Source organism: Homo sapiens, chromosome 1 (genome assembly GCF_000001405.40).
Source record: "Homo sapiens chromosome 1, GRCh38.p14 Primary Assembly".
NCBI lineage: Eukaryota > Metazoa > Chordata > Mammalia > Primates > Hominidae > Homo > Homo sapiens.
In genome coordinates this window covers 240,185,186-240,198,112 of record NC_000001.11, presented here as the reverse complement: position 1 = coordinate 240,198,112, position 12,927 = coordinate 240,185,186, and the positions used below count along the sequence as shown (strand labels likewise).

The 12,927-nt window shown below is 39.6% G+C and overlaps 1 protein-coding gene across 9 annotated transcripts in view; it reads right to left on the bottom strand.

Moving 5' to 3' along the window:
* The window catches only part of FMN2 (formin 2), a 383,305-nt gene that overhangs the window by 277,075 nt on the left and 93,303 nt on the right, over window positions 1-12,927 (bottom strand). For all 9 annotated transcript variants that reach the window (NM_001305424.2, NM_020066.5, NM_001348094.2 and 6 more), the window contains one exon: window positions 9,851-9,906. In NM_001305424.2, coding sequence (NP_001292353.1) covers window positions 9,851-9,906 — 56 coding nt within the window. The remainder of the gene's footprint in view (window positions 1-9,850; window positions 9,907-12,927) is intronic.

Genomic DNA, 12,927 nt, shown 5'->3' with positions numbered 1-12,927 from the left:
ATTCCAGCTTCACTTTCCTTGAATGATCTATGGATGGAAAGTGCAGCTCAGTTTTTTACCTCCTAATCGCCTCCCTTGCATTAACACCCAACTGTTCTCAAATATCTTTTTTTTGGTGTTTGTTTTTTCAAGAAAAATCTTCCTGGCCAGGCACAGTGGCTCACGCCTATAATCCCAGCACTTTGGGAGGCTGAGGTGGGTGGATCACCTGAGGTCAGGAGTTTGAGACCAGCCTGGCCAACATGGTGAAACCCTGTCTCTACTAATAATACAAAAATTAGCCAGGCGTGGTGGTGCATACCTGTAATCCCAGCTACTCTGGAGGCTGAGGCAGAATTGCTTGAACCTGGGAGGTACCCAGGTTCCTTAAAGTGCATCTGAGGGTACAGGAAAAAACCTAACCACAATGCTTTCCCTATTCTCTCACTCAACAATGAAAACAGAGGACTTCTGTGACCTCTATCATCAAAATGTGCAAAGATTTCGTCCCTCCAGCAAGCAATCAATTCTATTATAGACACCAGATGAGTGTCCTCTAATTCAAATCAATTCTAACACTATCTACCTGGAGGTAGCATCAGGTCCCACAGGTTGAGGGCTCAGTCCTCAAAACTGCCCCCACTTCATATGCAAGCCACAGGTCCAGGCCTCTAGGAACTTCTGACCAACTGGCTATAAATCCAGGATCCCTCCACCCCCTCCGCAGGTTCAATGTGTTAGACCAGCCCACAGAACTCAGGGAAACACATAACTTTTGCTGACTTACTAGAAGGGATGTTACAAAGGATGCAGATGAAGAGATGGATGGGGAGAGGCTTGGGAAAAGGGGAGCACCACCCTCCGGGAAAACCATGTGTTCATCAGCTATCTGGAAGCTCTCCAAATCCCATCAATTTTGGGGGTTTTAATGGAGGTTTCATGATGTAGGTGCGATTAACTACATCACTGGGCACTGGTGACCAACTTAACCTTCAGCCCCTCCCAGTTCCCGAGGCTGGGGGGTGGGGCAGAAAGTCCCAACCCTATTACTATGCTTTGGTCTTTCTGTGGACCAGCCCCATCCTGAAGTTACCAGACAACAAACAGTAGCATATAAAAAGACACTTAACCTCTTCGAAGATTCCAAGGATTTTAGGAGTTGTATGCCAGGAGATGGCAATTAAGACCAAATGTATGTTTCATAATATCAAGCATCTTATCCTCCAACAAAATACTCCTTTGCCTGTCCTGTAGTTTACCTAGGCTTGGGAACATCTTTCGATCATTTCTCTAATTCATTGTCTCTTAAGCTCAATGTGCACCAGAATCGCCTAGAGGGTTTGTTAAAACACAGATTATTTGGGAGGTCGAGGCCGGCGGTTCGCCTGAGGTCAGGAGTTTGAGACCAGCCTGGCCAACACAGCAAAATATTGTCTCTACTAAAAATACAAAAACTTAGCTGGGCATGGTGGCAGGTGCCTGTAATCCCAGCTACTAGGGAGGCTGAGGAAGGAGAATTGCTTGAACCTGGGAGGCGGAGGTTGCAGTGAGCCGAGATCATGCCATTGCACTCCAGCCTGGGCAACAAGAGCAAAACTCTGTATCAAAACAAAAACAAACAAACCAAAAAACACACACAGATTGCTGGGCCCCACCTCCACAGTTTCCAGTTCAGTAGGTCTGGGTAGGGCCTGAGAATCTGCATATCTAACCAGCTCCCAGTTGATACTGAAGTCTGCAAACCACACAGCCTAATTTATACCCTAGACATGGTTACCAAACCCATCATTTCAATTCTTGGTTGCCACTTTTCCTGTATCACATCAGCACCTTAGCTGAGAAGTAATGGAATTACTTTGAGAGTTTAATAGCTGGTCCTAACTGGCTCCACTCTCCCTCTTCCTATCATTCTACATTCCCTTGCCAGGTAATTGTTCCTTAAACTGTCTTGCTCATTCCTCAAAAACTCATGGCTCCCGACTACTGAGCATAAAACGTTTTAAATCCTCTATTAGGCTCATAAGACCTTGAATAGTCCATAAAATGTGGAGACTCCATCACTCACTCTGCCTACTGCAAAAGGATATTGTGAGAATGTTGGGTTTTTGTCTTGTTTTGGTTTTTTCAAGACAGGGTCTCATTCTGTTGTACCAGCTGGAGTGCAGTGGCACAATCATAGCTCACTGCAGCCTTGACCTCCTGGGCTCAGGTGATCCTCTTGTCTCAGCCTCCCAAGTAGCTCATGCCACCATGGCCAGCTGTTTTTTTTATTATTATTGGTAGAGACAGGGTCTCCCTATGTTGCCAATGCTAGTCTCAGACTCCTGGGCTCAAGTGATCCTCCCACCTCAGCCTCCCAAAGTGCTAGAATTTCAGGCATGAGCTACCACACCCAGCCTTATTGTGAGAATTTAAAAAGATACAGTCAATTCTTGTTATTCACAGTAGTTTTGTCCTATAAAGTCTTTGTGAACATCAAATTAGTGAATACTGAATATTGCTTCTAGAAAAAATACAGGTTTAGATTCCTGCAAGCCCCTGGTCACATTTTTGTCAACCAATCAATGCATTACCTTTTTTAAATGTGTGTTCCTGCTGAAAGACACTTTATTTAATATATATTGCTGATTTACTATGGCCAACAGCAGCATCACTGAAGCCTGAACAAAGCTTATCTGACATGTGTTTTTGCCACAAGGCACATCACAGCCTTCTTGCACGTAGGAACATTAGACAACACGGCAGCTCTATGCCTGGAGGCAATTTCGAACAGTAAAACCAACAAGAAAAAGCACAAAAACATGAAAAAACAGCCACAAAAACACTCTTATTTACAGAATGAGAGCTGAAAGAAGAAAGCAGAGCTTCACCTCATTCAACATCAGCTGGGAAAGTCCACGTCAAGCAACTCAAATTTCTTGCCACTTGGAGCGTGTTTGTGATTGGCCGTGAAAGCACCATATGAATATGATTTGGGGGCTCCAAATAAATGTTAGCAAGTAGGTGAGTTCGCAAATACATGCAAATCCAAGAATAATGAGGACCACCTATGCAATGAAAGCAACTTTCAAAACCAGAGTATTGCTCAACTATAACAACAATAATGATAAAGAGCTAACATTTTGAGTGCCAGGAACTCCTCCAAAGCATTTTACATAAATATATTTAAAACTCACAAAAAAAAAATGTAGAGATAGGAATTCTTATTATACCCATTTTATAGATGAGAAAACTAAGGCACACAGAGTAAAATGCTATTCTTAAATTCTAACAAAGATTCTCTTCTTGATCAAGCTCTAGCCAGGCTCCTCTGAGCCCTCTTCTCAACTAGGCCTTAGCCTTGGCCTGTAAAGGCTTGAGCAAACATTAACATAGTTTCTACCAACTAAAGGCTGCATCCCAAAGATAATCCTACCGCTCTTTAAATTACTGCCTAAGAAAACTCAAGGCTGCCAAAACAACTTACTGTTTCAGCCTTCACCTGAGGATGGGGCCTCTTTCCTAGTCTCTGGCGGAGGACAGACTCCTAACTTATAACTGCCAGTTAGTAGACACAGCTGGCCTAATCTCATTTACACTAATGAACCCTTGCAGTTTTTCACTTCTGAGTCTCCTGAGCCTCCACTCACCCTTCTCCCTATTCCTTTATTCTCCCTTTAAAATGCTTGGTCACCTCTGTACAAATCAAAGTTGAGTTTAGTTCACGCTGGACTCTTCCCTAGCGCAATAGTTGCCACTGATATAAAATCTGTCCTTACCATTTTAACTAATGTCTGACTTTGTTCATCTTTGACAGTTCCCCAGTTAAAAGTGGAATAACTGGGATTTGTGCCCAGGAAAACTGGTCCAAAGCCCAGATCCTCAACCACTATGGTATGAATATAAGCAAATGTTCTACCACTCCTGAAATGCACCCTAGACTGAGTCTTCTCAAGTCCAGTGTCTAGAACAAAATCAAGTTTAGACAAATTTAGATTAAAAAATAGAAGTAGATTTTTAAAAAGAGGAGTGCAGAAGAAACATGTATAAGACAGATATGAAGGATCCTAAAGATTAAAAAAACAACAACAACAACAAAAAACAAACAAAAACAAAACAAAACAAAAAAACTAGTGTATTTTTTAGGGTTGGAACAAGCCAGCCAATCATACAGGAAATAGTGAGTGATAACGCTGAAGACTGAGGATGGCAAGGGAAAACCCCATGTGTCAAACTCAGGAGTCTGAACATTTTCTCAAATGCTATGAGCAGTCACTGGATGAGTCTAAGCAGATATCAGACATCAGCAAATTTGGATTTTAGAAAGATAACTCTGGAGGCATTGTGGAGGAGAGATTAGAAGGGTTAAGACTGGAAGCAGAGAGACCCATCGGGAGAATACTGCAGTAATCCAGATAAGACTGGGCTCTGGGTTAAGGCACTGTCAGGCTGCAGGCCAAGGAGGCCCGGGAGAAGGAAAGCAAAACCTGGGTCTCCAGGGCAGCTGCCAGCTGAGCTGCCTCTCAGGTCACCTGGACTATTGCGCTTCTCCCTGGCCCCACACCCAGTGCCATGTTCACTTCCAATTTTCTACCTTTACTCTCTTCTCTGATCTGAAATACTCACTCTTCTTCCCTCCATCTATCCAAAAATGACGATTTGATCTAAATTTCACCCTTCCTAAGAAATTGCCCTTAATTGTAGTCTCTCAACAACCTTCACCCTTTTTGTTAAGTTTATCTTGGCAGAATTACATTGCATCTCGCAAATCATTTCATGTACGTGAAAGAGGTATGTTCTTCTAACTGTCTGCTTCTTAATACCCAAGATTTTGTCTTATAATTCTTCGTATTTCCTTCAATATCTACCACAAATACCTTGCACACAGTAGGTCAGCAGATGTTCAATAAAGGACAAGCCTCCTTTATAAGCAGAGAACTTTTATCAGCTCCACGACCCCCATTGGATTAGCTGCTTGGACTGTTTGCCTTTCTCCACAGGCCATTAATAATGTTGCATAGTGCAAACTAGTTTTACACCATCTAAAACTCAATAGAGCAAAGATATTACTTCATTTCACCCCCAAGCCTGACCACCCCAAGGAAAAACAAAAACAATCTGTGACATCCAATTATTTCTTCACATTCTCATCTCAAGTTCTAACTGCTTTCCAGATGTTAGCTGGTTTTCATTCTTAAAACTCATAGAAGAGTTTCTTTTGTGATTATTTCTAAGCTAAAACGTCTATATTTTTCTCTGAGCTCCTTGGAGTTTCTACAGAATAAAAATTATTCCCACACCAAAAAAAAAAAAATCCTTTCTTTCTCTTAACATAGTATGGTGAATACCTTTCAAAATGTTACCTATCTTCAATGTCAGCACTGCCCTAAGGGTATCCTGTCTTCTCTTCCCTTCCTAACCATCTCTCGCTTGCCCCTTCCCAGACTCATTAGGTCAGAGTATTTAGTGGTTAAACTATTTATTGAGGACCTAAGAATGATTAGACACTGAGGAAGACTTCAAGGATGACTAACTCATGGTTTCAGACCCAAGTATCTCTCTCTCTATCTCCTTTAAGACTTGTATTTCTTACTCCGCCTTATTTTAGTTATTTACTTGTCTTGTGGGTTATTGTTTTGTTGGTTTCCAATTACTTTGCAAATTCATATTACCTTTTGCCTTGGAGTTGAGAAAGACCTCATACTCAACAATGTTTCTTTAGAAACTTTCTATATGTCTAAGACATTCTACCCCAATTCAAATGGCTTGTTTTATTAAGTCTCCAGCATTATTTCTTCAGAATCACTTTTACTCCACTTTCTTTTGATCTGACCAATGCTTCTTTTGCTCTTCAAACTTTGTTTCTGAGTAACCAAGACCATCCACAAGGCTACTCCACATTACTCCATCTGTTTCCTTGACTTGTTCCTAAATTATTTCTGAAACTAATGGAACTGAGTGGCCACTGCATAAAGAGTACTATAACAGATACTTTAAGGAGATCCAGTAAAAAAATATTTACTTCTTCAAATAAATTTGCAGTTAGATTGGGCAATGAGGGGACTCGGTAGGGCTGATCAGAGCAAAGCGTTTTTCTGACACTTGAGAATTTATTTGCATATAGATCATACAACATATGGGGGAAGACAGTGCTGATATCGTCTAATTCCTTTTTATTGTCTAGCACTTTGTAATAGATGTGACTATTGATAAATGATAAATATTATAATGTTCAAAGACCTGACTTTCAATTACCTGTTATTTTCAATTCTTACCCAAAGCTAGAGTTTTTAAAAATCAAAATGTTATTCTATTTCCCTTCCAGCTAGTCCATGTATATTAGAAAGATACCAAGAGTTTTAGAAAAATGCTTTGAAACAAAAATTGTATATATAATTTCAAAAGCAAAAAGTTAGAAACTAGGTGGCTACCAGGTGAAGCATGTTACCATACACCAATCTTTAACTTAGAAGCAAATGTTCTTAGATAAAATAATTGACACTAAGCTATTATATACTACAGAGTATAAAAGGCTTTACAGTTTAAATATTTCAAATGGCAAAGATTTTAATAAACAGAATCAAAAGACAGTCGCATTTCAGTTTTATGACATAATTCTTCAGATAGAGCAGATTTTCAGAGCATATTACTTGAAATTAAAATAATCAGTAAGTGAGGTCTCAAGAATGTAATTTTATTTGAAAACCTAATTCCACAGGGTCATCAATAAAAGCATTCAAGGAGTAGCTACAGTCCGTTCTTTTCACTTGAGTGCCAGCTGTATTTGCTTTAAGCATCAGACTCTCTGGCAACACCACAGCCTTCTACTCCTGTGAGTTGAGGAAAGGCTTTATGAGTCATGTGTTTTTTCTAGGGATATCGCACTCTCAGAATTATTAACTACAGAAAGAGTAAAAGTCAAAACTCATTCAATAAATTCCAATGTGCTCAGATTGAGAGAACAGGTGTCTGAACACACATCTGAAGAATAACTTAGAGAGGATGCTTTCCAACTCGGCTGCAAGCCTCTGACTAAGCAGTCCTGGGGATCTCACATTACGACCACAGAAGAACGCAGGCAACGCTGATGGACCAGAAAAATCTCTTAGGTTCATCATTCATACTGAGAAAACTGCCTTCAAACCTCTCATTTCCAGCTGCATTTAGAGATACAGAACTGCCATCTAGTGACTAAGAAGGAAAAAGCAAGGACTTTCCATGAAAAATAATTTTTTTTACATAATAACAAAGCACTAAAGTTAGTAAAATTAACACAACTTAGCACATCAAAGTTCTAGTAAAACTTCAAAATGTATAAGTGAACTAATATACCTATTTGCCTCTATAATGTATCTGGACATCCAACTGATACATGGTAGAGTTTACATATAATAAAATAAATTTAGAATCTCATCTCATTCATCTGACGATTTTGGCATCGGGTGATTACCCATGTAAAAGTATAATTTTTATCATAGTATAAGTATAAAATCAAACAGATCTGTACTCAAATAGCGAGCCTACCCTTTATCAAGTTTGTGATCTGATGCAAGTTATTTTAACTCATATAATCATTTTCTTTAGCAGTTAAATGCGCATTATAATAGTTACTTTAAAGGATTATTGTGAGGATTTCTTAAGGTAATAGAGTAAAAGAACAGGTATACAGTAGGTTGACAATTAATTTGAGTTTTCCCTATCCCCTTTACGGCCAGTTACTTTAGCCTGTCATGAAACATATCCATATCATCTAAGAAAAGAATCAGCCCGTAAAATAAATGTATGACAAAGAGTTAATGATTCCAAAAGTAAGTGATGTCATTGTCGGGTGCTTAAAATCGATTGCTTCCAAATATTGTTCCCTCTCAATTAATTTTCCTGACTTCCAGACACTTCACTGTCAACAAGGATAAGATGTAACATTTATTCAATCTATTTCACCCTTGAGTCTTCAAGTTGTAAAATCAAGTGTTTTTAAATAACCTACTCCATTAGGTTTTCTGCTTATTGCAATATATTTTACCATGGTCCATCGCTCAGGAAAAACACTATAATGTTACACACATGAATATGTATCTTGAAATAGCATAATATAGAAAGCAATGCTGTACATGTTTTATCATTGTTGATATTATCAAATACTTCCTGTTCAGGTTCTCTTTGACATTATCGTATGTAACAATTGATTCATATACGTCCTGAACATAAGAATTTAGAAAAACTTAATGTATCCCTTTAAATCACAATTTAGCCATGCTTTCCACACCAAAAAAAAGGCTTAAAAAGTGAGGGAAGATTTGAGGGTACTATCTTTCTTAATAACTGCTGACTTTACTATTTCTTTTTACCTTTTTATCTTTCTTTCTCTTATTCGCTGTGGGCTAATCATTGCAGATAATTAAGGAACCATCAGTTGAGCCCACCGTGCCTCTCCAAGTGCCACCAAGTTGATGTAGCCCTCTGCTCCCATAACAATAAGCTGGAAAAACTTGCTTTTTCAATGAACTGTCCTTAAGGATAGCTAACCTAGCCGCATTTTTGAAAAGCACCCAGGTGCTGTTTTCAACCAATGTTGTACCCCAATTTCTCCTCCAGGGGGAGCACAACTTTCATGTATAACACAGGGATTCTTTTCTAAAGGGAAGTTACTTTATTTGATGAGTTATCAGAGATCAGCAATAATTTAATTTTACAGAGAAGAACCCTATGTCCCAGGTAATCTAAGCTTGTTGTCATCACACTAATCAGAAATAGATCCGGGTGTAAAACCCAAGTATGTGTCTCCTCATTTTCTCCTAGACCACCAACAGAACAGAACACATCTTTTTACTGTTCATTTCTAATACTAAGTTACTGACAAAAGCATAGTTGGGTGAAAATGTAAATTGGTTTGTAAGCAATGGTTTTATATCCAAAAGAGCAATTGCTATCCACAATTACTATTCCATACACGTTTCCTTTCTTGCAGTTTTTTTTTTTTAATAAGAAATCCATTTTAGCATAGCTTGCATTTTAGCGTAAGAAAAAAAAACCCACAAAATTTGGCTTCTTTGGTAACTGATATGGTTTGGCTCTGTGTCCCCAGCCAAATCTCATCTTGTAGCTCCCATAATTCCCACATGTTGTGGGAGGGACCTGGTGGGAGATGACTGAATCATGGGGGCTGATCTTTCCCATGCTCTTCTCATGATAGTGAATGGGTCTCACGAGATCTAATGGTTTTAAAAATGGGAGTTTCTCTGCACAAGCTCTTTTTTGCCTTCTGCCATCCACATAAGATGTGATTTGCTTCTCCTTGCCTTCCACCATGAACTTGTGAGGCCTCCCCAGCCATGTGGAAGTGTAAGTCCAATAAGCCTCTTTCTTTTGTAAATTGCCCATTCTTGGGTACACCCTTATCAGCAGTGTGAAAACGGACTAATACAGTAACAGAAAAAAAATAGTTTCCTGGAAATTAAACAGATACTAATTAATGTTTCATCCACCAAAGTAATAAGAACCTTATTTGACTTTAGCAAAGCTCTGACAGATTTCTTTTTAAAGATCATAGCCATGGGACTGTTTGAGCAGGCACATCTCGCAGACTTCTCCCTGGAGTGGCCACCGTTTCCTGCTGGAGCCCGCTGTTATTGGGCCCAACTCTTTGGCTGGATATAGAATAAAACAGCTTCTGAAAAGCTTGTACTCAGTTCCATTTCAAGGCTGATTTTGTATGCAAAAAATAAATGGAAGAAAACATCCCCTTCTGCCTGACTGGATTCCACTGCAGGCTTAGGGAAAACAAGGGCATCCTAGCCAGCCGGGCAGATGGAAAGATAAATCGCAGAGTCTGTCACAATCTTAAGACAAATAAGACAGATGGGAATCTGACATCCTAATAAGATCATCTTACCTTCTGGACAGCATCTGAGCGTTTTTGGGGAGTTTCTGAAACAGCAGATTGAGATTCTAGATTGGAAAGGAAGCAGACAGTCAGTATCTTAAAGGACAATTTTCCTATTTCTTCAATCAGAAAATAAAACTTTCACTAAAATATATCATTAACCATAAGTACCAAAAAATATCCAGTCTCTCTTCCAATTATATAACTGGGTTATTAGGATATGACTACTTTTCAATATATATAATACATACAATGAGAATGCTCATGTCATTTTTAAAAATTGGGATATTCCTATGCCCTTCTCTATATATCAACTATCCTTATTTGTCTCGATTGCTAGTTTCTAAATTGTGCCAGAAAGTCCTTCTAAGACTTTCACAGATTATATTATTCACTTAGCTGAAGTCTGTATCACGATAGAAGCCACTTCACCAAGGTTGAAGGATGGGAGCTCAAAAGCCTCATCTAACTGTTGTCAAATTGCCCCTTGATTTCAACAAGAGATAACGAACACTGTCACCAAGAGACACTGAGTAAGAAGGGATTCTGAAGCAGTTTTTCTCTTTTAGTCCTCATGTCATCTGAGATTCTATGAGACTGCAAATTCATCATTCTAAAAAGACCTAAGGCATAACCAAGTCAGGGATTTCTTTTCGTAAGCGAGAGGGCACTTTCTTCTAAGTGAAGCTTGTGTGCAAATTTAAAAATAAAAGGGCCTTTAGGATAAAAATAAAAATGAAAGGGCCTTCAAGGAATTCCTCATGCTCCATGAATCAGAGCCTGAAAAACCACTAATCTCATCCATCCTCTGCACCTTTCAGATGAGAAATTCAAAGCCCATAATGCAAGTGGTTGTTGGCAAGGTGAAGACGAGAGTTTATATCTCCTGACTGTCGCGTTGCACCCCTGACTGGCATGCAGACCAGACCCTGGACACAAGGTACAGCAGTCACTGTTTTTGGTTTTGTTTTTTTCTTTTCTTTTTTTTTTTTTTTTTTTTTTGAGATGGAGTTTCGCTCTTTCACCCAGGCTGGAGTGCAACGGCGCGATCTTGGCTCACTGCAACCTCCGCCTCCTGGGTTCAAGCGATTCTCCTGCCTCAGCCTCCCGAATAGCTGGGATTATAGGCACCCGCCACCACACCCAGCTAATTTTTTTTTTTTTTTTTTGGTACAGACGGGGTTTCACCATGTTGGCCAGGCTGGTCTCGAACTCCTGACCTCGTGATCCGCCCGCCTTGGCCTCCCAAAGTGCTGGGATGACAGGCATGAGCCACCGTGCTCGGCCAGCAGTCACTCTTTATGGTCATTTTGACATTTCCAATTTAGCCACATGGTAGCTGATATATGTGACAATGCTACAGAAAAATAAAAGGCATTTAGTATTTAAACAGCTTAACATACTGTTAAGCTACAATGAAAGTTTTCATTTCACTCAGATGAGAATCTGTCTCCACAGGGACCCACAAGGCCTGGTTTCAACTACTGTTACTCCCTAGCCTCTCTACCCACCTCCATCTGTCCCAACTTGCTCACCAGGCCAGCCACCCTGGCCAGCTTACTTGTCTTGTCACACACCAGTCATGCTTCTTCCATAGGGCCGCCAAAGCCACAGTGGCTACTGCCTCTGCCCAGAGCACTGCACTCACTCTTCTTCCCAAAATCTGCAAGCCCCACTCTGTGGCTGCTTCCTTCGGGGCTTTGCTCAAGCAGCGACCCCACCCACTCCTTGGCACTCAGCACACACTCACCCTTACTTTCTTCGTAACCTGGATCATCACACCATATACTCCATAATGCATTTGGTTGCCTACTTATTTATACCTCTTATTCCACTAGAACATAAACTCTGTGAAAGCAAGAATTTTTGTCAGTTTTTCCTCTTGTTGTGTCCCCCACATCCAAATAGTGCCTGGTACTTAGTAGGTGCTTAAAATATTTGTTGAGTAATTGTAGGAGTGAATGAAAGAATAAATGAAAGATCAAAACAATGATAAGAACATGAAAGTGGGTTCCACCAGGAAAAGTGGGGTATCCTGGGCAGAGAAAGAGAGAGTAAGGATTTTACAAGAGACAATATAGATATTGCCTTGCCTTTAGCTATTTTCTGAATCTCAGCTAGGAGTATATATTTTAAAACAAAACTCACTGAGAATAGCATGATGCAGTCACTTACCAGTAAGTGTCACAGTGGCAATAAACAACTGGCCTTAAAATACAACCATTTTCCCAGATAAATATAGCATATCATTGAGCTAATCAAAAATGGATTCTTTTCTCTTATATTGACAAATCTCTACTCTGAACTTAACACCAGAGTTAGCCAAATTTTAATAAAGATCTTTAACAGCAAAGCTAGTTAACAGTTAATATTAAAGCAAATCCAAACTCCGGAACGCTCTCATTTTCTATTGTTTTTCGTCACTTCCAAATCCTCCCAAACACAATAGACTCAAGACAAGTCTTGGCTTTGTACCAGTGGGGAAAAGTCTCTCTTCCTCTTCTATTTAGATCGTGCCACAAGAGCCTAAAGGCTCTCCTGGTGGTACACAAAGAGTTCTTTACATTAGAAATGCATAAAATGCTTTCTAGCTTTGTTCTATAGTCCTTGACCCGGTAACTGGACCCAAAAAGTAAACTTCTGGGCTCTGATGGTAAAGAACAAGTGCAGTTTATCAGAAAAACGTACTTAGAAAACCACATTAGAAAGATGCATCAGCAAAATATTCTGCACACCTACACCCAAACTTTCAGCTCCTCTCTGTCTAATTCAATGGCTACCTGAACTGAATTCATTCTCCCAATCCCATCCCTTTCATTATAGTTTTTATTTGTTTGAATCTGTGTGTTAAAACACAGAAGAGAAATTTGCAGGTTGAAATGCTGTCTTCAAAATCATAAGCTGGAAAATAGGAGTTCTAGAGGGTCAAGATTTTAACATGAAAGAGATGTACAGAATAACTTCACTGAAAAATAAAGGGAAAATAAATGAGAACCACTGGGAGAGAAGAGAAAAATACATGATAAGGAAAAAGAAAACAATACAGAATAAAAGAAAGAGAAGGAAAAAGGTATAGGAGGGAGAAA